General features: G+C 41.8%; 1 protein-coding gene and 2 long non-coding RNA genes across 5 annotated transcripts in view, besides 4 other annotated features; all 3 read right to left on the bottom strand.

The window, feature by feature from the left end:
• The window catches only part of BLOC1S5-TXNDC5 (BLOC1S5-TXNDC5 readthrough (NMD candidate)), a 183,165-nt gene extending 161,753 nt beyond the window's left edge, over nt 1-21,412 (bottom strand). Inside the window, exons 1-2 of the long non-coding RNA NR_037616.1 lie at nt 21,263-21,412; nt 19,532-19,614 (exon numbers count right to left, since the gene is read on the bottom strand). This is a non-coding gene — a long non-coding RNA (BLOC1S5-TXNDC5 readthrough (NMD candidate)). The remainder of the gene's footprint in view (nt 1-19,531; nt 19,615-21,262) is intronic.
• The window catches only part of BLOC1S5 (biogenesis of lysosomal organelles complex 1 subunit 5), a 50,848-nt gene extending 29,436 nt beyond the window's left edge, over nt 1-21,412 (bottom strand). Inside the window, exons 1-3 of one of the 3 annotated variants that reach the window (NM_001199322.1) lie at nt 21,263-21,412; nt 19,532-19,614; nt 11,268-11,370 (exon numbers count right to left, since the gene is read on the bottom strand). In NM_001199322.1, the coding sequence (NP_001186251.1) occupies nt 11,268-11,270 (3 nt within the window). In that variant the 5' untranslated portion in view covers nt 11,271-11,370; nt 19,532-19,614; nt 21,263-21,412. The remainder of the gene's footprint in view (nt 1-11,267; nt 11,371-19,531; nt 19,615-21,262) is intronic. The other 2 variants (NM_001199323.1, NM_201280.3) reach the window with 2 other exon arrangements.
• Nucleotides 1-23,461, bottom strand: part of EEF1E1-BLOC1S5 (EEF1E1-BLOC1S5 readthrough (NMD candidate)) — an 89,029-nt gene that overhangs the window by 29,436 nt on the left and 36,132 nt on the right. The window contains exon 4 of the long non-coding RNA NR_037618.1: nt 19,532-19,614. This is a non-coding gene — a long non-coding RNA (EEF1E1-BLOC1S5 readthrough (NMD candidate)). The remainder of the gene's footprint in view (nt 1-19,531; nt 19,615-23,461) is intronic.
• Nucleotides 20,595-21,221: an enhancer, noted in NCBI's record as "H3K27ac hESC enhancer chr6:8063830-8064456 (GRCh37/hg19 assembly coordinates)". NCBI's record gives its function as "activates a minimal SCP1, AML or CMV promoter by ChIP-STARR-seq in primed H9 embryonic stem cells {active_cell/tissue: H9 hESC(primed)}" and the evidence as "EXISTENCE:reporter gene assay evidence [ECO:0000049][PMID:30033119]".
• Nucleotides 20,831-21,020: an enhancer, noted in NCBI's record as "active region_23955". NCBI's record gives its function as "activates an Ori minimal core promoter by ATAC-STARR-seq in GM12878 lymphoblastoid cells {active_cell/tissue: GM12878}" and the evidence as "EXISTENCE:reporter gene assay evidence [ECO:0000049][PMID:35858748]".
• Nucleotides 22,711-22,810: an enhancer, noted in NCBI's record as "active region_23956". NCBI's record gives its function as "activates an Ori minimal core promoter by ATAC-STARR-seq in GM12878 lymphoblastoid cells {active_cell/tissue: GM12878}" and the evidence as "EXISTENCE:reporter gene assay evidence [ECO:0000049][PMID:35858748]".
• Nucleotides 22,821-22,970: an enhancer, noted in NCBI's record as "active region_23957". NCBI's record gives its function as "activates an Ori minimal core promoter by ATAC-STARR-seq in GM12878 lymphoblastoid cells {active_cell/tissue: GM12878}" and the evidence as "EXISTENCE:reporter gene assay evidence [ECO:0000049][PMID:35858748]".

Consider the following 23,461-nt stretch of genomic DNA (forward strand, 5'->3'; position numbering starts at 1 on the left):
CCAGACTGCTTCCCAAGCACCTTTTCCCTTTGCTGACACTGCTTTGTATTCTTTTGCCATAAAAGAGCTTGCCACAAGTATGGCCATATACTGACTCCTGTGAGTTCTTCTAGTGAATCACTGAACTTGCAGGTGGTTTTAGGAACCCCGAAAACATCTCCATTCCAGAAAATAGAGCAAAACCACCCTCCCTGCCCAAAATGAGGGTGGGTTATACTTAGTAACTTGCTTTCAAAGAATAGAACAGGGAAAGGGAAAAATATTAACATTATAGTAGAGAAAACTAGCAACATGATACTAGAGAAAACTAGCCAATGCAATAATACCTCAACCAAGCCAAGAAGGTTCATATTATCAGTGGTATCGTGTTGATAGCATGCACCCACTGATGTAATGCGATAAGGGTACTTCATCTCTGTGGTATTCTTTCCCAATACCCATAACCCCAGTCTAGTCATGAGAAAAACAACAGACAAACCCAGATTGGATACCTAGCCAGTACTCAAGACTTATGCAAAGGTCATAAAAAATAAGGAAAGGCGGAGGAACTGTCACAGACCAAAGACTAAGGTGGCATGATCATTCAATGCAATGTGGTACCCCAGATGAGATTCTGGAACAGAAAGGGGACTGTAATAGAAAAACTGGTAAAATTCAAATAAAGTCTGGTGTTTCATTGACAGTAATGTATCAATGTTGGTTTCTTAGCTTTTACAAATGCAGCATGGTAATGTAAGAAATAAAATAATGAAAGAAATTGGGTGAGGTGTTGATATGGTTTGGCTGTGTCCCCACCCAAGTCTCAACTTGAATTGTATCTCCCAGAATTCCCACATGTTGTGGGAGGGACCTAGGGGGAGGTAATTGAATCATGGGGGCCCGTCTTTCCCATACTATTCTCCTGATAGTGAATAAGTCTCTGATGGGCTTATCAGGGGTTTCCACTTTTGCTTCTTCCTCATTTTCTCTTGCTACCACCATGTTAAGAAGTGCCTTTCAGGCCAGGCGCGATGGCTCACGCCTGTAATCCCAGCACTTTGGGAAGCTGAGGTGGGCGGATCATGAGGTTAGGAGTTTGAGACAAGCCTGGCCAACACGGTGAAACCCCATCTCTACTAAAGATACAAAAAAATTAGCCAGGCGTGGTGGTGCATGCCTGTAATCCTAGCTACTCAGGAGGCTGAGGCAGGAGAATCGCTTGAACCTGGGAGGTGGGGGTTACAGTGAGCCAAGATTGTGCCACTGCTCTCCAGCCTGGGCGACAGAGCAAGACTCTGTCTCAAAAAAAAAAAAAAAAAAAAAGAAGGAAGTGTCTTTCGCCTCCCACCATGATTCTGAGGCCTCCCCACCCATGTGGAACTGTAAGTCCAATTAAACCTCTTTTTCTTTCCAGTCTTGGGTATGTCTTTATCAGTAGAGTGAAAACAGACTAATACAGTAAATTGGTACCAGTAGAGTGGGGCGTGGCTGAAAAGATAGAAGAAAATGTGGAAGCAACTTTGGAAATGAGTAACAGGCAAAGGTTGGAACAGTTTGGAGGGCTCAGAAGAAGACAGGAAAATGTAAGAAAGTTTGGGACTTCCTAGAGACTTGCTGAATGGCTTTGACAAAAATGCTGATGGTGATATGAACAATAAGGTCCAGGCTGAGGTGGTCTCAGATGGACATGAGGAACTTGTTGGGAACTGGAGCAAAGGTGACTCTTGTTATGCTTTAGCAAAGAGACTGGTGGCATTTTTTCCTTGCGCTAGAGATCTGTGGAACTTTGAACTTGAGAGAGATCATTGAGAGTATCTGGTGGAAGAAATTTCTAAGGAGCAAAGCATTCAAGAGGTGACTTGGGTGCTGTGAAAGGCATTCAGTTTTATAAGGTAAGCGGAGCATAAAAGTTTGGAAAATCTGTAGCCTGACAATGCAAAAGAAAAGAAAATTTCATTTTCTGAGGAGAAATCCAAGCCGGCTGCAGAAATTTGCATAAGTAACAAGGAGCCAAATGTCAATCCCCAAGACAATGGGGAAAATGTCTCCAGAGCATGTCAGAGGTCTTCATGGCTGTCCCTCCCATCACAGGCCCAGAGGCCTAGGGGTAAAAAGTGGTTTGTGGGCTAGGTCCATGGCCTCCATGCTGTGTGCAGCCTAGGGACTTGGTGCCCCATGTCCCAGCCACTCCAGCAGTGGCTGAAAGGGGCCGACATACAGCTTGGGCTGTGAATTCAGAGGGTGGAAGCCCCAGGCTTTGGCAGCTTCCAAGTAATGTTGAGCCTGTGGTGCACAGAAGTCAAGAATGGAGGTTTGGGAACCTCTGCCTAGATTTCAGAAGATGTAAGGAAATGCCTGGGTGTCCAGGCAAAAGTTTGCTGCAGGAGTGGGGCCCTCATGGAGAACCTCTGCTAGGGCAGTGCAGAAGGGAAATGTGGGGTCGGAGCCCCCACACAGAGTCCCTACTGGGGCACTGCCTAGCGGAGTTGTGGGAAGAGGACCACCGTCCTCCAGACCCCAGAATGGTAGATCCACCGACAGCTTGCACCATGCACCTGGAAAAGCCACAGACACTCAATGCCAGCCTATGAAAGAAGCTAGGAGGGAGGCTGTACCCTGCAAAGCAACAGGGCTGGAGCCTCCCAAGACCATAGGAATCCACCTCTCGCATCAGTGTGGCCTGAATGTGAGACCTGGAGTCAAAGGGGATCATTTTGGAGTTTTAAAATTTGATTGCCCCACTGGATTTCGGACTTGCATGGGCACTGTAATCCCTTTGTTTTGGCACATTTCTCTCATTTGGAACGGCTGTATTTACCCAATACCTGTAACCCCATTGTATCTAGGAAGTAACTATCTCGCTTTTGATTTTGCAGGCTTACAGGTGAAAGGGACTTGCCTTGTCTCAGAGGAGACTTTGGACTGTGGACTTTTGGGATTAATGCTGAAATGAGTTAAGACTTTGGGGGACTGCTGGGAAGGCATGATTGGTTTTGAAATGTGAGGACGTGAGATTTGGAGGGGCCAAAGGTGGAATTATATGGTTTGGCTCTGTCCCCACCCAAATCTCAACTTGAATTGTATCTCCCAGAACTCCCACGTGTTGTGGGAAGAACCCAGGGGGAGGTAATTGAATCATGGGGCCAGTCTTTCCCATACTATTCTCATGACAGTGAATAAGTCTCATGAGATCTGATGGGCTTATCAGGGGTTTCTGCTTTTGCTTCTTTCTCATTTTCACTTGCTGCCACCATGTAAGAAGTGCCTTTCGCCAGCCACCATGATTCTGAGTCCTCCCCAGCCATGTGGAACTGTTTAAGTCCAATTACACCTCTTTTTCTTCCCAATCTTGGGTATGCCTTTATAAGCAGCATGAAAATGGACTAACACAGGGGTACATGGGAATTATCTGTACTATCTTTGCAATTTTTCTACAAATCTAAAATTAAAATAAGAAGTTACTAAAAAAAAGAGTGGTAAACTTGACTATGAAAAAATAATAGACTAGATATGTTACTGAGGTTTTTTATTTTTTTTGAGCCATTCTTATAAGGCCAGTTTCTGACTTTTTCTAATTTTCCCATAATAAAATATTAACAACTTATACAAAAGTTGTGAGAGAATAATATAACAAACTCTCATATACTCCAAGCTTCAACAATTCTCATGACTGATTTTTTTCCCCTCCACAATGTTCCATACCTCATTCCCTCTAGATTATTTTGAAGCAAATCCTAGAAAGTATATCATTTCAACTGTTAAATATTTCAACCTGTATCTTTTTTTTTGTTTGCTGTTGTAGAGACAGGGTCTTGTTCTGTCGCTGAGATCACACTACTGCTGGAGTGCAGTGGTGTGATCATGGCTCACTGCAGCCTTGAACTCCTGGGCTCAAGCAATCCTCCTGTCTCAGCCTCCCAATAGCTGGGAGGACAGGTGCACACCACCACACCTGGCTCATTTTTCTTTTTTAAAAATTTTTTGTAGAGACAGGCTCTCACTTTGTTGTCCAGGCTGGCCTCAAACTCCTGAGCTCAAGCAATACTCCCACCCTGGACTCCTGAAGTCCTGGAATTACACGCATGAGCCACCATGCTTGATCTCAACATATATTAATATCTTTAAAACAAGAGACTTGCCTTAAACAAACAATAAGACCACCTCTCTCTCTCTCTCTCTCACACACACACACACACACACACACACACACACACACACAGTCAACAGTAATTTTTTTTTTTTTTGAGACAAGGTCTGGCTCTGTTTTCTAGGCTGGAGTGCAGTGGCACAATCTTGGCTCACTGCAACCTCTGCCTCCCTGGCTCAAGCAATCCTCCTACCTCAGCCTTCCAAGTAGCTGGGGCTACAGGCGCACATTATGACACTTGGCTAATTTTTGTATTTTTTATAGAGACAGGGTTGTCCCATCTCTCTATAAAAGACATTTGTTGACCACGCCTGGCCAACAATTTTTTAATATCAAAGTAGTGTTCACATTCCCTCAAATGTCCTATAAATGTTTTTTATCCCCCAGTTTGTTTGAACCACAACCTAAACGAGTTTTATATACTGCAATTGATTAATATGTTTCTTAAGTCCTTTTTAACCAATAGATTTCCCCTTTCACTTTTTTCCCTTGCAATTTGTTGGAAAAAAGTGAGTCATTTGTTCTGCACAGTTTCCCACAGTCTGTTGTTTGCTGAATGAATCCCCATGGTGTAATTTAACATACTCCTTTGTCTGTTCTCTTTCCTGTAAATTAGTCGTTAGAACTAAAGCCCTGATCAAATTCAGGGTTCTGTTTTTTGTTTGCAAGAATTTTTCAGACATGGGTTGTATACTCTCAACAGCATCTTGGTAGCATTCTGTCTTTGTTTACTAGCAGAAATACTCTATGAGGAGAAACTGCCCCCAACAACAACTTGGTTACTCTGAGTAATGTTCACATACAAAAGGCAAGACAGAACACTTGATTCTTTCTCCCGTATTTACCAGTTTCAAAAATAATGAGTTGGCTCCCTAGTATCCACTAAAGGTGATTAGAAAGGTTTTTTGTTTGTTTGTACATATCCCTATGACTCATAGATTTAGAGATATTTGAAGTTTTTCAATCCATTGCAGTATTTCTCATAGGACAAACGCAAGGCCTTTTGCACCAGATAATTGGTACTCAGATTATCCCAGCTTTGTCCAGTGGGAGCCTATTCAAGCTGGCTCTGGAATGCTTCAGACAAAACTCTAGTATTTTGTAGTAGCTCATTTGCTTTCTGGCATGATCTGATGCTCCAGGTTCATCCTCTCCATCTCCTGCTCTGGACTTGGAATGAGCAGGTGTCTAACCTCCCACTGGGATGTAGAAATGGAATTCGGAGACTGAGCACTAAGGCTGCTCACTTTTATTGGGTTGGTCATTGTTTCTAACTTTTCAGCGGAGAAGGCTAGGAAATATGTATTTTTTTAAAAAATAGATATATCTTGAGTTCATACTGATAGTCAAACTTAAATTAAAGACCACAGAATTTCTAATTACCCTCTTCTGTCTTATCTGTTTCTTTCCAGTTATCAAAACACCAACATAATTGTTTGTTTTATCGCTGATTCAGTCAAGTCATAATACCAATACTAGCATCAACAAAATGATTACTAAAATAAGAAATTTAATATATATTTTTTAACTTTTTCTTTTGAAGGTATATTTCACTAGGATGTAAAGTCAAATCATTGTGCCTTGAAATTATGTGGAAGAGTTGGCTGGGCACGGTGGCTCACGCCTGTAATCCCAGCACTTTGGGAGGCTGAGGTGGGCGGATCACCTGAGGTCAGGAGTTCAAGACCAACCTGGCCAACATGGTGAAACCCCATCTCTACTAAAAATACAAAAATTAGCTGGGCATGGTGGTGTACGCCTGTAATACCAGCTACTCAGGAGGCTGAGGCAGGAGAATCACTTGAACCCAGGGTGGCAGAAGCTGCAGTGAGTCGAGATCACACCACTTCACTCCAGCCTAGGTGAAAGAGACTCCGCCTCAAAAGAAAGAAAAGAAAGGAAAGAAAGAAGAGGAGGGGAGGGGAGAGGAAGGGAGGGGAGGGGAGGGGGGAAAGAAAGAGGCCAGGTACAGTGGTTCATGCCTGTAATCCCAGCACTTTGGGAGGCCGAGATGGGCAGATCACATGAGGTCAGGAGTTCGAGACCAGCCTGGCCAACATGGTGAAACCCCATCTCTACTAAAAATACAAACATTAGCCGGGCGTGGTGGCAGGCACCTGTAATCCCAACTACTCGGGAGGCTGAGGCAGGAGAATCGCTTGAACTTGGGAGATGGAGGCTGCAGTGAGCCGCGATCGCGCCATTGCACTCCAGCCTGGGGGACAAGAGCAAGACTTCGTCTCAAAAAAAAAAAGAAAGGAAAGAAAGAACGTGGAACAATTTCTCTCTGAGTAGCAATGTCACCATCCAAAAACACAGGCTTTTTTCTGTAAATTTTACTTGATTTTTAGGAATTGCTCTTTAAATTTAAAATTTAAATTATGTAAAACATTTATATGGCTCCAAAACTATATCTGTAAAACAAAATACATTCAAAGAAGTGTAGCTTCTACTCCTATCCTTTGCACCCTATCTCCTCCATAGCTTTCCCTTTAGGTAATTATTAACAACTTATCCAACCACTGTTTTAAGTACATACATGCATATATAAATGCATACATGTCAATGTGTATATAATTATGTATATACTTTTTTTTTTTTGAGATAGGGTCTCACTCTGTTGCCCAGGCTGGAGTAGAGTGGTGTGATTCTGGCTCATTGCAACCTCCGCTTCCTGGGCTCAAGCGATCCTCCCGCCTCAGCCCCCAAGTAGCTGAGAGAACAGGCACAAGCCACTATGCCCGACCAATTTTTGTATTCTTTGTAGAGACGGGGTTTCATCATGTTGCCCAGGGCTGGTCTCAAGCTCCTGAGCTCAAGCGATCCACCCACCTCAGCCTCCCAAAGTGCTGGGATTACAGGTGTGAGCCACTGTGTCCGGTGGATGTATATACTTCTAAGTGTACGCAAGCATACCTCACTTTACTATGCTTTGCAGATACTATGTTTTTTACAAATTGAAGGTTTGTGGCAACGCTGTTTCAAGCAAGTCTATTGGTGCCATATTTCCATCAGCATGAGCTCACCTTGTGTCCCTTTGTCACATTTGGGTAATTCTCATAAAATTTCACAAGTTTTCATTATTATTACACCTGTAAGGGTGATCTGTGATCAGTGATCTTTGATGTTACTGTTGTCATAGTTTTGGGGCGCCACAAACCACAATCACATAAGACCATGAACTTAATCTATGAATGTTGGGTCTGTTCTCATTGCTCACTGACTGGCCATTCCCCCATCTCTTTCCCTCTCCTTGGGCCTCCGTATTCCCTGTGACACACTGAAATTAGGCCAATTAATAACCCCACATGGCCTCTAAGTGTTCAAGTAAATAAAGAGTCATAAATCTCTGACTTTAATCCAAAACTAGAAATGATTACACTTAGTGAAGAATGCATGTTGAAAGCCAAGGCAGGATGAACGCGAGGCCTTTTGCACCAGATATTTAGCCAAGATGAGAATGGAAAAGAAACTTTTTTTTTTTTTTTTATTGAGACAGAGTCTCACTCTGTCACCCAGGATGGAGTGCGGCGGTGTGATCTCGGCTCACCGCAACCTCTGCCGCCCAGGTTCAGGCAATTCTCATGCCTCGGCCTCCCAAGTAGCTGGGACTACAGCCAAGTGCCACAATGCCTGGCTAATATTTTTGTATTTTTAGTAGAGACGGGGTTTCGCCATGTTGGCCAGGCTGGTCTTGAACTCCTGACTTCAGGTGATCTGCCCGCCTCGGCCTCCCAAAGTGCTGGGATTACAGGCATGAGCAACTGTGCCCAGTGGAAAAGGAAGATTCTTGAAGGAAATTAAAAATGTTATTCCATTGGGAGGCCGAGGTGGGCAGATCACAAGGTCAAGAGATCGAGACCATCTTGGCCAACATGGTGAAACCCTGTCTCTACTAAAAATACAAAAATCAGCTGAGCAGGGTGGTGCACACCTGTAGTCCCAGCTACTCAGGAGGCTGAGGCAGGAGAATTGCTTGAACCTGGGAGGTGGAGGCTGCAGTGAGCCGAGACTGCGCCACTGAACTCCAGCCTGGTGACAGTGAGATTCCATCTCAAAAAAAAAAAAAAGTTATTCTAGTGAACACACGAATGATAAGAAAGTGAAACAGCCTTATTGCTGATAGGGAGAAAGTTTGAGTGGTCTGGACAGAAGATGAAACCAGCCACAACATTTTCTTAAGCCAAAGCCTAATTGAGAGGAAGGCCCTAACTCTATTCAATCCTATGAAGGTTGAGAGAGGTGAGGAAGCTGCAGAAGGAAGGTTTGAAGCCAAGCCAGCAGAGGTTGGTTCATGAGATTTAAGGAAAGACACCATCTCCATAACATACAAGTGCAAGGTGAAGCAACAAATGCTAACGTAGACTGCAAGATCTAGCTACGATCATTGCTGAAGTAGCTACACTAAACAACAGACTTCCAATGTATATGAAACTGCCTGCTATTAGCAGAAAACGCCATCTAGGACTTTCATAGCTAGAGAGAAGTCAATGCCTGGCTTCAGAGCTTCAAAGGACAAGCTAACTCTCTTGTTAGGGGTTAATGCAGCTGGTGACTTGAAGTTGAAGCCGGTGCTCACATACCATTCCAAAAATCCTAGGGTCATAAAGAATTATGCTAGATCTACTCTGCCTGTGCTTTATAAAAGGAACAACAAAGCCTGGATGACAGCACATCTGTTTACAGTATGGTTTACTGAAGCCCACTGTTGAGACCTACTGCTCAGAAAAAAAGACTCCTCTCAAAATATCACTGCTCAATGACAATACACCTGGTTACCTGATGGAGATAGACAAGAAGATGCGTGTTGTTATTATGTCTGCTGATAGAACATCCATGCCTTTTTTTTTTTTTTTTTTTTTGAGACGGAGTCTTGCCACCCAGGCTGGAGTGCAGGGTGCGATCTCGGCTCACTGCAAGCTCCGCCTCCCGGGTTCACGCCATTCTCCTGCCTCAGCCTCCCAAGTAGCTGGGATTACAGGCGCCCGCCACCACGCCCGGCTAATTTTTTTGTATTTTTAGTAGGGACGGGGTTTCACCGTGTTAGCCAGGATGGTCTCGATCTCCTGACCTTGTGATCCACCCGCCTCGGCCTCCCAAAGTGCTGGGATTACAGGCGTGAGCCACCGCGCCCGAGGTACAACATTCATTCTACAGCGCATGGATTAAGAAATCATTTCAACTTTCAAGACTTATTATTTAAGAAATAGATTTCTTAATAGCTGCCACAGACAGCGATTTCACTGATGGATCTGGACAAAGTAAATTGAAGACCTTCTGGAAAGGATTCACCATTCTAGATGCCATTAAGAACATTAATGATTCATGGGAAGAGGTCAAAGTATCAACATTAACAGGAGTTTGGAAGAAGTTGATTCCAACCCTCATGGGTGACTTTGAGCAGTTCTAGACTTCAGCTGAGGAAGCCATTATAGATGGGGTGGAAAAAGCAAAACAACTAGAATTAGAAGTGGAGCCTGAAGGCCAGGTGCGGTGGCTCACGCCTGTAATCCCAGCACTTTGGGAGGCTCAGGCTGGCAGATCACGAGGTCAGGAGATCGAGATCATCCTGGCTAACATGGTGAAACCCTGTCTCTACTAAAAAAACACAAAAAAATTAGCCGGGCACAGTGGCGGGTGCCTGTAGTCTCAGCTACTTGGGAGGCTGAGGGAGGAGAACGGCGTGAGCCCAGGAGGCGGAGCTTGCAGTGAGCCAAGACTGCACCACTGCACCACTCCAGCCCGGGCAACAGAGCGAGACTCTGTCAAAAAAAAAAAAAAGAAGTGGAGCCTGAAGATGTGACTGAATTGCTGCATCTTATAATAATACTTGAACAGATGAGGATCTGCTTCTTATGGATGAGCAAAGAATGCAGTTCCTTGAGATGGAATCTACTCCTGGTGAAATTAGGCCAATTAACAACCCTACAATGGCCTCTACGTGTTCAAGTAAAGGAAGAGTCGCACAACTCCCACTTTAATCAAAAGCTAGAAATGATTACACTTAGAAAGACATGTTGAAAATGCTGTGAACACGACTGAGATGACAATAAAAGGTTTAGAATATTATATAGACTTAGTTAATAAAGCAGCAGCAGCAGGGTTTGAGAAGAATGAAATTTCGAAAAAACTTCGACTGTGGGTAAAACGCTACCAAGCAGCATTTTATGCTACAGACAAATCTTTGTAGAAGGAAGAGTCAATTGATGTGGGAAACTTCATTGTTGTCTTATTTTAAGAAATTGCCACAGCCACCCCAACCTTCTGCAACCACCACCCTGATCAGTCAGTCAGCAGCCATTAACATCGAAATAAGATTCTCCATTAGCAAAAAGATTATGACTTGCTGAAGGCTGAGATTATTAGCAGCCTTAGCAAGAAAGTATTTTTAAATTAAGGTATGTATATTGCTTTTTAGACATAATGCTACTGCAAACTTAATAGACTACAGGATAGTGTAAACATACTTTTCTATTAATTGGGCACCCAAGAAATTTGTTTAACTTGCTTTATTGCAATATTCACGTCATTGCAGAGGCCTGTAACCAAACCCACAATATTTCTGAAATATACCAATATATTGTACATACTTTTAAATTCCCTTTCTTAAACAGAAACGTGATATAGACTTTTCTTATTTCATGAGTCAAATTCACACACACATACATAATATATATATAAAATCTTTCTCTGTGTGGTCTTTGTTCTCTCTTTTTGGTGTATCTTCCAGTTATTTAGAAAAGTTGGTGTTCTTGTTCTCACAGTTATGTTTACACTAACACAGATCAAGGACCCTTAACTCGAAAATCCAAAATCTGAAATGCTCCAAAATCTGAAACTTTTTGAATGCTAACATGATGCTCAAAGAAAATGCTTATTGGGACATTTTGGATTTTGGAATTTTTGATTAGGGACACCCAACCTACACTTTATATGATAACTTTGTATATAACACCTTCACTTTTTTGGTGACTGTTTATTGGTTTCCTACTTATTAGCAATATTAATATTAGGTGATAATCTTCTCTTTTCCCAGCTTTTCCCTCCTTTTTGGGATCCAATTTGAAACAGCATCCTTTTACTTCCAGTTAATATTTACAAGGCAATCAATAAGGAAATCCTACTTTTCACATACACTCACCATCTCCTTCTATTTTCTGATAGTTACACTACATCTTCACCGTCAGAACACACAGCCACTGGATATTACACTGTCTGCCTTTAACTATGGTTTAGTCTTCATTCTGTAAGTAAATATATATTGAATGCTTACCCACTGTTGTTAGGTAGAAGTCTCTCTAATCATTTTGGTTGGCTGAAATTCATTCTGTTGTGTAACAGATTCCTTAGGAAAGGCTCATTGGAACAATCATCCCAGAGTCCTTGCATGACCTAATAGTGTGTGGTTCCTGTACCTGGGGGTCAATTTGGCTGGATATAAAGCCCCTGGCTGTTATTCCATTGCCTTCTGGCATGAGACAGATATATCTGTTAACAACTGCGTTTTCTTGCCCTTATGAAGGACTTAGCCATTTTGTCTGGATGCCCAGAGGACTCTTTTTCTATAAAGTCTAAGAGATTTATTGGTAACTATCTTAGCGTTGTCTGTTCTGGGTTAATTTTCCCTGAATGTAGTAGTGTGCCCTTCAATATAATTTTAGTATTTTACTTCAAGAAAGTTTTTTTGACTTCTAGTTTTTGTATTTATATTTGCTCTATTACATCGCTTTGGTCTTTTTTCTAGTGGCTCATTATCACACATATTTCAATTTTTCATTCCAATTTTCAACTTCACTTAAGGACTCTTCAGTTGTTTATTCACTCATGTTCCTTTTAGTTTAGTTTTCATTTATGAAATATTTTTAAATTTCTTTTTCCTGAATTCTTTCACCTGACCTTTTATTTTTGCTAATTATTTTACCTGATCATTTCTGAGTTTTTCCTTTTATGAGTTATATCGTTCTTTCCTTGCTTCTACAATTTTCTTATGCTCCCAGAGCTCATGTTAAAATACTAGGTTAGGCTGGGCATGGTGGCTCACGCCTGTAATCCCAGCACTTTGGGAAGCCGAGGCGGGTGGATCACCTGAGGTCATGAGTTTTTGAGACCAGCCTGGCCAACGTGGTGAAACCCTGTCTCTATTAAAAAATACAAAAATCAGCCAGGTGTGGTGGCGTGTGCCTGCAATTCCAGCTACTTGGGAGGCTGAAGCAGGAGAATCACTGGAACCCAGAAGGTGGAGGTTGTAGTGAGCCGAGATTGTACCACTGCATTCCAGCCCGGGAGAAGAGTAAGACTCTGTCTCAAAAAATATATACAATAAAATACTAGGTTATAGTTCTATTTTTTGTGTGGTCAAATCTTTCTTATTTCCTCGAGGAATATTATTCTGTTCTTTATCCTCTAATCAATTGTGTGGGATTTGACTCTTGCTCGACTTTAAGTGAAATTAGTTTTCCACTATTTTTAGAAGGGAGGGGTGGTGAGAATAGCCTTTTTAACTTTAGAGTTGTATAACTCCCTTTTTCGTTTCACAAAGTATTCAGTTTCCTACAATTTTTCTACAGTGTAAAACATTATTGTGAAAGGGTGTTTTGGTTTGGGAGTTCCAAAGCCCCTGACTGCTTCAGCACCATTAGGTTTTCCTACAGCCCCCTAGCACCTACTCCTAAGTTGGAGCCTGTGAAGTCCCCTCCCAGTTTCTGCTGCTGTTCTCCAAATGGCCCACTGCTATAGTTTGAATGTATCCCCCAAAACTGTGTGCTGGAAATATAATGCCCAATGCCACAGTGTTGGGAGGTGGGGTCTGGGCCTAACGAGAGGTGATTAGTTCATGAGGGCTGTGCCCTCATGAATGGATTAAGGCCATCATCAAAAGAATGGTTTCCTTTATAAGTAGACAAGTTCAGCCCCCTTCTCTTTCTCTCTTAACTTTTCTTACCTTCTGCCTCCCACCATAGGATGACATAGTCAGAAGGCACTCACCAGACGAAGCCCCTTTGATAACTTCCCAGCCTCCAGAACTGTGAGCCAAATACATTTCTCCTCATTATAAATTACTCAGTTTCAGGTATTCTGTTAGAGCATCACGCAACAGACTAAAACACCCATCAGGCTTCCCAGATCTATCTGGTGGGAATTTTGAGGTTGTCTAGCACTCAAGGCTCTCGCAAGTCCCTCTGCATTCTTTCCACTCCCTCTGGCAGTTCTGATACCACAGAAGCCTTTTAGCTGTTGGTGACTTGGCCATTGGTATCATGGGTACCCTGTTGCCTGGTTTTATTACAGATGTAGATTGGGTTTGCTGTGCTAATTGCTCTGTTTTTAGACATATTCAAGGGGGAAAAAAAACAAAACATAAAACTATGCCCCCGCCACTGCCACCTTCTCCAGATGGTATTGTAATCTGGAAGAATCGAGAGAGTAGTGGAAACTATTTCAATGCTTATGGCACAGACTCATTTACATGTACAAGAAAATGGTCTCTCAGTTCAAAGACAAACACAACTAAGAACAGAGAGTGGAGCTATGCAGCTCCATTCAGGGGACAGGTTATTATTCTGGGGCCTATAAATGGGCTTTGGGGTTCCAGGGTGCTCCTGAAATTGTAGTCAAATTGAAGACATGTTCTCTATGCATTTTTCTGGGGAAAAAAATTCTTAAAGGAGTCCGTGACCTACTAAGAGAACTACTTATTTAAAGGGTTATTTATTGTAGCAGGCAAACGGGTAGTTACACACAGTAAGTGAATTAGTAGCCATAGCTCTCTAACAACCCATTAATAATCAATTTAAAAGACAAAAAAAGGCCTGGCGTGGTGGCTCACGCCTGTAATCCCAGCACTTTGGGAGGCCGAGGCAGTTGGATCACCTGAGGTCAGGAGTTCAAGACCAGCCTGGCCAACATGGTGAAACCCTGTTCTCTACTAAAAAAATACAAAATTAGCTGGACATGGTGGTATATGCCTGTAATCCCAGCTACTTGGGAGGCTGAGGCCGGAGAATCGCTTGAATCTGGGAGGGGGAGGTTACAGTGAGTCGAGATCGCACCATTGTACTCCAGCCTGGGCAACAAGAGTGAAACTCCGTCTCAAAAAAAAGAAAAGAAAAAAAGAAAAGACAAAAAAACCCCAAAAAACCCATGACACTATTATACAAAAAAGACGTTAGAAAGTCTCTTCCCTTAAACTCACCATCTGGTGTGCGTTTGTTTTTATGCTGATATTTTTAACTGAGGGGTAACTGTTCGCACTTATCACACAAGGAAGAATATACTAACATTTGTTTATTTATATATGTATATTGTTTCTGGCATGAAAATTCTCAGAGCAAAGCTCAGCACTCATAAAGCTTGGTTTCTGATGTAATCTGATAGCATTAGAGAGAAAATGAGAGACTGACATAATTTAAATTTTTCTTTCAGTCACCAGATTTAAAACCATACGGTGTCTACACATACTTCTCATGTGTTATATGGAACAGACACTCTGATAAAATGATGTTTTAACCTGACAGTGTCTCTAGTAATCTAACCAAAAACAAGGAATCAGGAGATCAAGTGAAATTCCTGTGCTGCCTTTGGAGGAATTTTCTCTTGATCAATTTAACCCACATTAGAATTAATTAAAACAATCCCACTCAACTCTTATAATTATTGCACTATTAAATACTTTTCTTTTTGTCTCTAATTTTAACCAACATTTGCTTCATTTTTCCTAACACTTATTTTTCTTTCAGTCCAAACATCACCCATTCTATGAAAATTTCCCTGAGCTCTCTTAGAAGTTGTTTCTCGAGTTGTTTCCTCTTCTGAGCTCTCAAGTCTTTCGTGCTTATAACAATTACACCATGATGACTCTTTGTTTACATGCCTTTCTTCTCCCTAGATGGTAAACTTCACGGAGGTAGGAATTGTTTCCTATTTATTTGTACATGTCTTGTATGACTGGTACCTCTGCCTCCATTCCCTTCTCTCTTGCTATCAACACCTAAATTTTATTTGGAGTGGTAACATGCCTATAACAGAGACTGCTAGCTATTTCCTAACTGCCTTCCTTTTTGCTACATGAAATGCACATGTAATGGCTGGAGGTCCAAAAGCCACCTTGTAGGCCGAGCATGGTGGCTCATGCTTATAATCCCAGTACTTTTGGAGACTGGGGTAGGAGGATCAATTGAGCCCAGGAGTTTGAGTCCAGCATGGGCAACACAGTGAGACCCTGTCTCTATGAAAAAAAAAAAAAAAAAAAAAAAAAAAAAAAAAATAGCCGGCCATGGCATTGTAATCTGGAAGAATCAAGAGAGAGTAGTGGAAACTATTTCATTCCTTATGGCAGAGACTAATTTACATGTACAAGAGAATGGTCTCTTAGTTCAAAGACAAACACAAGTAAGAACAGAGAAGGGAGCTATGCAGCTCCATTCAGAGGACGGGTTACTGTGGTCCCAGCTACTTGGGAGGCTGAAGTAAGAAGACTGCTTGAACCCAGCAGGTTGAGGCTGCAGTAAGCCATGATCGTGCCACTGCACTCCAGGTTGGGTTACAGAGCGTGACCCTGTCTCAAAACAAAACAAAAAAAATGCCACCTTGTAAGCATATGGACAAAGGCAACATCCTAGGGGGATAGAAGGTAAAACTGGAAGAAAAAGCTGACGTTATAGGGCCACCATTCCAGCCCTAAGCTAACTCTAAACTCTGCATATTGTGATAGAAAATTAATCACTTGTTAAATCCACTATTTTTCAGATATCTGTCACTATTAACTAAACACATTCCTTACTGATATACATAGGTATTCAATAACTGTTCCATAAAGCATTGCATGAATAAAGTTTGCTAAAAACTAAATAAGGAACTTATACAGGACTATATACTCTATAAGCATGTCTAAATACTTGTTGACCACCATCAGTCTCTGCTCTGCTCCACCTGAGAAAGGCCATAACAGTTCCTCCAAGGCTAGAAAGACAGTGGCACAGAGGACAATGCCTTTACCCACTGATACTATTACATTAATACTCACTGGAAGGATTCCACCTGAAAGGTGAGATCCTTATGAATCTCTGTCCATAATGTTCATTGGAATCAAGGGAAAAAGAGTTTGTATAAAGTCAGGAGACAGACAGTCATCTGTCCTTAAATATTAATGAAAACAAAAAGAGAGCTTAAAATAGCCTAAGAGGACTTCAATAATTTAAGTAATGCTGCCACCATGTGGTACTTACTCCCTTCTTTTACAAATAAAATTTTATAAAGAAAAAGGTAATTGTTGCCATATACCTTAAGTTTTTTAAACATATAAACAACTTTAGTTTTAAGTGCTAGCCAGTTTTTCTTAAAGTAACCTACATTCAAATGATACAGAAAAGATGAAACTTCCAGGAGGTACCAGCAGCTCTGCTTTGCCACTCTATCTAACCAAAGACCACATTTATTAATTATCTGATATCATTGTTTCGGCCATGATAGAAAAGAAGTACAAATAATGCAGATGTATATTCAAACCTAAAGCCTCTGAAACATGTTGAGCTTTTTCCTTCTAATTTGAGATGAGAGTTATAACAGACAGAAAAGGCATTTGAGCCTGAAGTTGTGTGCTACACTAAACCCTCAGGAAGGCCAAATGGGGAGGGAAGACCAATTGGTCTTGTGTTGGTCACTGTGTGAAAAGACTGGATCAAGTACTTTTCAAGAAAAGCAACTCAAACTTAGCTGATAAAATGTTCTTGAGCCCTTCAGAGACCATTCTTCAATAATAAAGACCATTCTTCAAAGCACCGTAAGAACGAAGGGTGGGACTATGTCTGTCTTATTCACTGGCATATCATTACTTCCTGATATTATGCCTCACATAAAATAAGTGCTCAACACATTTTGTTTGACTTTATATAACCAGCTGTTACTATAAGCTGTTCTGACCTGTTAAATTTGTGGTAATTTATTACATAGACTTAGAAAATGAATACAGTGCCATATAGAGAAGTAAATTAGGGTGACATGATAGAGTGTACTGGTTACTGCTTTGGATTAAAGGGCTGGAGGTGATACTTAACCTGCAATCTAAACCAAAAATAATGAGCCATGCGAAAAATGAGAAGTAGCAGCATCTTAGGAAGATGGAATTGCTGATGCTGTAACAATCGTGATGTGTTAAAGAAAAAGAAAGGAAGAATTGTGGCTGAAACACAAGGAGGGAAGAGTTGTGTACAATAAAGTCTGAAAGACAAGTAGAGGTCAGAGATCATCTAGGATTTTTAAGTAGAGCCAAGGAGCTGGAGTGCGCTTTCCATGTAAAGAAAAGCCAAAGTAGGAGGAGGCTAAGCAAGGGTGTGGTACAACAGGATTTGCAGACCATTTGGCTACTGTGTGAGAAAGGTTATTTCACAGAGATAAGACTGAAATTAAGGAGACCAGGTAGGGGCCTACTGCAGGTGGCCGGGTGAGGGCTGACGGTGAGCTGGGTTGGGATAGGGGTAGTGGCAAGAAAGATAAGTAGAAAGATTTAAGATATGTTTTAGAGGTAGATTTGCTGATAATGTGGTTGCTGAAGTGAAGTAAAAAGAAGAAAATATAACTCCCACATTTAAGAACTAAATCCACACTCTATACATGTAAAACTCAATACAATTTTAAAAACATATTTATACAACACACTGTAAAAATCTTATAGCAAGTTTGTATAGAAATTTCCACTTTCTTCTTTTTTTATTTTTTTGAGACAGAGTCTTGCTCCATCGCCAGGGCTGGAGTGCAATGGCGCGTTCTCGGCTCACTGCAACCTCCACCTCCTGGGTTCAAGAGATTCTCCTGCCTCAGCTTCCCGAGTAGCTGGGACTACAGGCACATGCCACCATGCCCGGCTAATTTTTGTATTTTTTTAAGTAGAGATGGAGTTTTGCCATGTTGGCCAGGCTGGTCTCAAACTCCTGACCTCAAGTGATCTGCCCACCTCGGCCTCCCAAAGTGCTGGGATAAATTGAGCCACCTCGCCTGGCCTCCACTTTCTTCTTACTAAGGAATTGGTAACCATCTTTACACAGCACGGTAAAGGAATAGTCTCTGGATAATTTTCTGTGTCTCCCACATTATTCTTATTCCTAATAAGAATAATAAATAATGATGACAAATAAATAAATAAAATATCAAAAAGATAAAAAAGACTTAAAAATTTTTTTTAAATGATGACGATGTGGTATAATCAGATTGTGGGAACTTACTGCTTAACGAACAATGAACCTATTATACACGTTAAGATGTTAACTAAACCAATTACACACGCTAATTAACATGTTAACTGAACCAATTACACATGTTACTTAACATGTATAATTAACTTGGCTATGTACCTAGTTAATTCCTAGGTCCCAGACAATATTCTAAAATGCACAGATCCTGGGAAGTATGATGCAGTTTATGAGTCACAGCATCTTTTGCACCCAGAAATGCTTATCTAATGCAACAGCTCTGGGCCTCTATCTTTAATAAGCCCTCAACTGGGTTTATTAAAAGGTACTCTCCTTTTGGCATGTTTGCACATCCTGACTGGTCAGTATCATTTGCAAAAATCTGAAACTTACACAGAATCACAAAATTGTTTGTGCAACACCATTTACCATCCCAACAGCAGTTTGAGAAGTTACTGCTTAAAGCACAATAAACCAATTATACATGTACAAAACTACAGTAATAGGAAACAAGATGGCATGTTCATGCATCACTGTCGCTGGAACATAGTATGTAAGGTAGAGTAGCAGGTGGTTATGCTAGAAAAGCAGGAGCCAGGTCACAGAACAATGCTTGGACTTTATCCTGTGGACAGAAATAGTATCAAAGGTTTTAAAAAGTGAAATAATGTTAGATTCCTCTGGCAGCAGGGTGAAAACTGGATTTGACTTCGTTGATAAAGCAGGCAAACCTGTCAGAAAGAATCGACATTTATGAGGTAAACATCTAGGTAACGTCTAAAAGATGGGGTCACTGAATGTGGAACCTGTAAGAAAGGAAATAGCCAAGGATAATCCTTAAGTTTTAATTTGACTGCTTGCATAATTGGTGATGTCTCAATTGAGGAAAAAATTACAGAAAATGAGTCTGAAAAACTCAGACCCATCAATCTCTAAAATCCCTTTTTTTCCCCCACTATATCTCATTTTATAGATTAAAAAAACCTCAGATCAACAGACATTAAATACCCTAGAGCAGGCACCAGAACTTATGTATCCTGCTGTTTAGTATGGAACTTATCCCATTAAAAACAACAATTTTTACGTCTTCATCATTTTTACTTTGTATATTTTATGAACACATGAACTAAAATCCGATTTTAAAACTGGGGAATTTCTCTTCTGTATAATAACACACTAACAATTAGGGAAGTACTTTTATAAAATAAGTTTAAATACTCACTTCAAATTCTTTTACAAAATAACGAGTTTCACCTTGAATAACTGGTCTGTGATCCAAAAGCCTTGAATGAATTTCTCCAAGATCTATAAAGATAAAATGAAATTCAGGGTTAATCCATGCTAAATGGCATAATCTCTAGCTTGTTTTACTCTCTCCCTTCCCCACTAAGAGATGAAGGTTAAAATCCAGTTTAGACTATGGACTAAGAAGAAATCTCATCCACTGCCAGTGGATGTGTACACTGATACAACTACTTTTGAGAACAATCTTTCAGTATTCAATAAAGTTGCAGACATGTATACCTAGCATTTTCATGCCTAGGTATGTACCCTGGAAAACTCTTGCACAAATGAGTAAGGCCATTTATACATATTTATTACAGCATAGGTGTAATATCAAAAGAAAAAACGCAAAACACCTTAACCATACTCATACAATGGAATTCTATCAATCACCAAGTAAAAATAAATACATCAGAGTTACACTTATCAACATAAATATAAAAAATAATACGTATTTTATAATAAATATAATAAAAAAGCAAGTTTCAGAAGGATTAAAGCAATTTACATAAAACTTTAAAATATTCAAAATATTTCCTTTTGGGATATAGACAGAAGCAACAAAACTATAAAGAAATGCACAAGAATAATAAACACCAAATTCTGGATAGTGGCTACCTTGAGACGAGGGAGGGGAACTAGTGCAATTAGAGCAAGACACAGTGGGGCTTTTAGTAATTTATTTATTAAGGTGGGTGGTGAATGTTCATTGTAAGTCTCTTTTTCATAAGTCTGAAAAAGTCATTAAGAAAAGGTCTGAATTTAAGTCTTTTGGTGAGTCAGTTTATTATTCTTCTTAGTTACAACTATGTAGTTTAAAATGTAAGTCTCAAAATTCCTTGAGAAATTAAATCTAAGACAATGTATTATTCATATTCATTCACTGGCAATGTTCCCCAAATTTTTCATTTTTGCAGACATACGATGGGCAGGTTTCAATTCTCTATTTTAATGAATTTTATTAGTACATATCTTCTTAAGCATGTCAAGTAGAAAAAATAATACAAGCACTGTATATAAGCACTTTATATCTGGTATATATAAAGCACTACAACTCAACTGTCAAAGACTTTCACGCAGCAAACAGCGTTGTGAGCTTTAGGAGTCAAACCTAAAGCAGATTCTGTGAGAATCTAGGTTGTAACCTTCTCCCAGCTCAAAGCACACAGAACACATGGACATTTCTGAACGTGAATGGTTCTTTACAGTGCTATAGAGCGCCTTCGTAAGTGTATCTCACTTACTCCTCGCACGACCAGGAACAGATCGGGTAGGAGAGTGAGTAAAGCCAGTGACCCGAAGTCACTCAACTCCTAAGCGACTGCCTCCCGCCTCCCAGGTCCAATGCCCTTTCCACTACACGTCGGTGGCGAGGCTGCCCAAAGGCTCTGCGCCCAGGGGTCCTGAGCTTGCGGAATGGACGGGGGCGGGCCTGATGGCTCAGGCTGCGACAGAGGAAAGCGGGGAAACACGAAGAGTTGGGCTGGTTGGTTGTGGTGGGACGCATTTGGCGCGGGGAAAAAGGCGGGGACCGACCACGACTCCCCCACCCGCACAAACGCACGCGCGCCAGCCCGGGACCCGGGGGTCGGCCCGGGTCAGAGGGCGCCGCCTGGGAGATGAGGCTGTGCTGGGATCCACCAGGAACTATAGCCCTGACACTCCGTACCCTTGATAATGAGGTGCGCTGAGCCCGCAGTCCCCAGGGAGTCCCTCTTCTTGCTGCCACCGCCCGGGGCGGCCTCACAACCCACAGGGGTCTCTGTCCCTCCGCCACTCATCCCGACCAGTTCCGCCCACCCGCGGCCACGCTGCGCCTGCGCAAACCCGGCCGCCCTCTTACAAGGCGCGCCCGGGTTTTTTTTGTGTGTGTGTCATTACAGGGCGCCGGAGAAATTTAATCTACCCAGCGGGCGGTTCCGGAAAGGCGCCTGCCGTGTAGTCAGGCTGTGAACTGGCAGAAGCTCTTGCCGCCATGCTGGATCAGGGCGGATGCTGCTAGAATAGGAAGGTGCTTGAACTTTGGAGCTAAACTCAGAGCCCTGGTTATTTGGCTCAAAGCTGGTGCATTCCAGTACAGTTGTCCTCCCATATCTGCTGAGAATACATTCCAAGACCCCCAGTAGATTCCTGAAACTGCATATAGTACTGAACCATGTATATACTATGTTTTTTCCTGTATATACATATGATAAAGTTTATAAATTAGGCACAGTAAGAGATGAACAATTAGAACAATTTAATAAAAGTTATGTGAATGTAGTCTCTCTCCCAAAATATCTTATTGTACCGTCCTGCGGGTAATGAAACCACAGAAAGTGAAACCTCAGATAAGGGGGGACTACTGTATAGCAAAGCCAATTAGCTGGGGGCTGTTTCCCTACTATGCCATGAGTGTGGCTGACTATTCCTGCCTTTCTTTTTAGACACCTGTTTCCTAGAATGCTTCTCTTGCTCCCTCTTTCTGTTCAAGTCAGTAAACTCACGTTGTATAATAAAGAATTTGACTGGACTTTGACTCTGGTTCCTGGGAGGTACCCTCAATCCTTAGAATTTCCCAAGTGATAGAAGTGTCTTTGTTATTCATGGTGGGCCTCTGGAAATACACCTGAGTTTATGCTAATGAGATGGCTCATGGAGGGCCCAAGATGATTTCAGAATGGAGGCTGGCCACACCAGAAGGGCCGGCCAACCATGAGGGCTTAGGCTTTGAGTCACATAAGCAGGCCCACCTCTGGGGAGCAGATTGGGGCTGGAGACTGAGTTCAGCCATGTGGCCAGTGATTTAACCAACTATGCCTACATAATGGAACCCCAGTGAGTACTCTGGATGTGGAAGCTCAGGTGAGCTTACTGGTCGATAATCATTCATCAAAGTGTCAGGAGGGGGAAGCGTTCCTGAGGACACGTAAGCTTCTATTTGGGAAATCTCCCACATCTCGCCCTATACATCTCTTCATTTGGCTGGTCCTGATATGTGTCCTTTATAATAAAACTGTAATAGCAAGGAAAGCACTTTCTTGAGTTCTATGAGTCATTCTGTGAAACCTGAGGGAGTAAAGCGAATAGCAATGAAACATCATGTGTAGAGAGAAGCTGCGTGGGTGAGAACTGAGGCACCCTAGCAGACAGTGCTCAGGCCCTGGGCATATGACAGAGACAGCTGGTCAGAAGTGCAGGTGGCCTGGGAACCCCAAAGCTTGTGGCAGGTGTCTGAAGGGGAGTCTTGAGGAGGACCATGCTTTGACCTCTGAAGTCTGTGCTAACTTCGGATAGCACTGCAGTTTAACAAACACTTACATGGCACTTGCTACATGCCAGGTAATACTGTAAGTGGTCTACAAATTTGCATTCATTTAATCCTCATGGCCGGCCTTTGAAGTAGTTATTATTAATGTCCTCATTTACAGACGAGGAGGCTGAGGCACAGAGAGGTTAAATGACTGCCTGACTTGTATGTGGCAGAAACAACTGCCTCTGTGTCTCTGTGTATGTGTTTAAGCATAGGTGGTGGGTGAAGAGAGAGTGGGGAAGGGAGATTTGGAGAGAAGGGAGAGAGAAGCCATATTAACTTTAACAGGCCACATGGGCTTTTCATTTTTTCATTCAAAAACATTTAACAAATACGTTATTGAGCAGCTGCTACGTGCCCAGCATAGTGCTAGGAGCTAAGACACAGTGGTGAACAAGACTAATGCAGCCTTTTCCTTTCCTCATGCAGCCTGCAGGGGAGCCAACACTGAATAAGTACACAATTACTTTTCTGCAAGTCTGTTGCTTGTAGCCTGTGAATATGTGTTCTAGCCATTTGATTATACACTATTAAGTTGTATTGTTCTCTGGGATGGTGAGGTCCAGCATATGCCTC

This window comes from Homo sapiens, chromosome 6 (assembly GCF_000001405.40).
Source record: "Homo sapiens chromosome 6, GRCh38.p14 Primary Assembly".
NCBI lineage: Eukaryota > Metazoa > Chordata > Mammalia > Primates > Hominidae > Homo > Homo sapiens.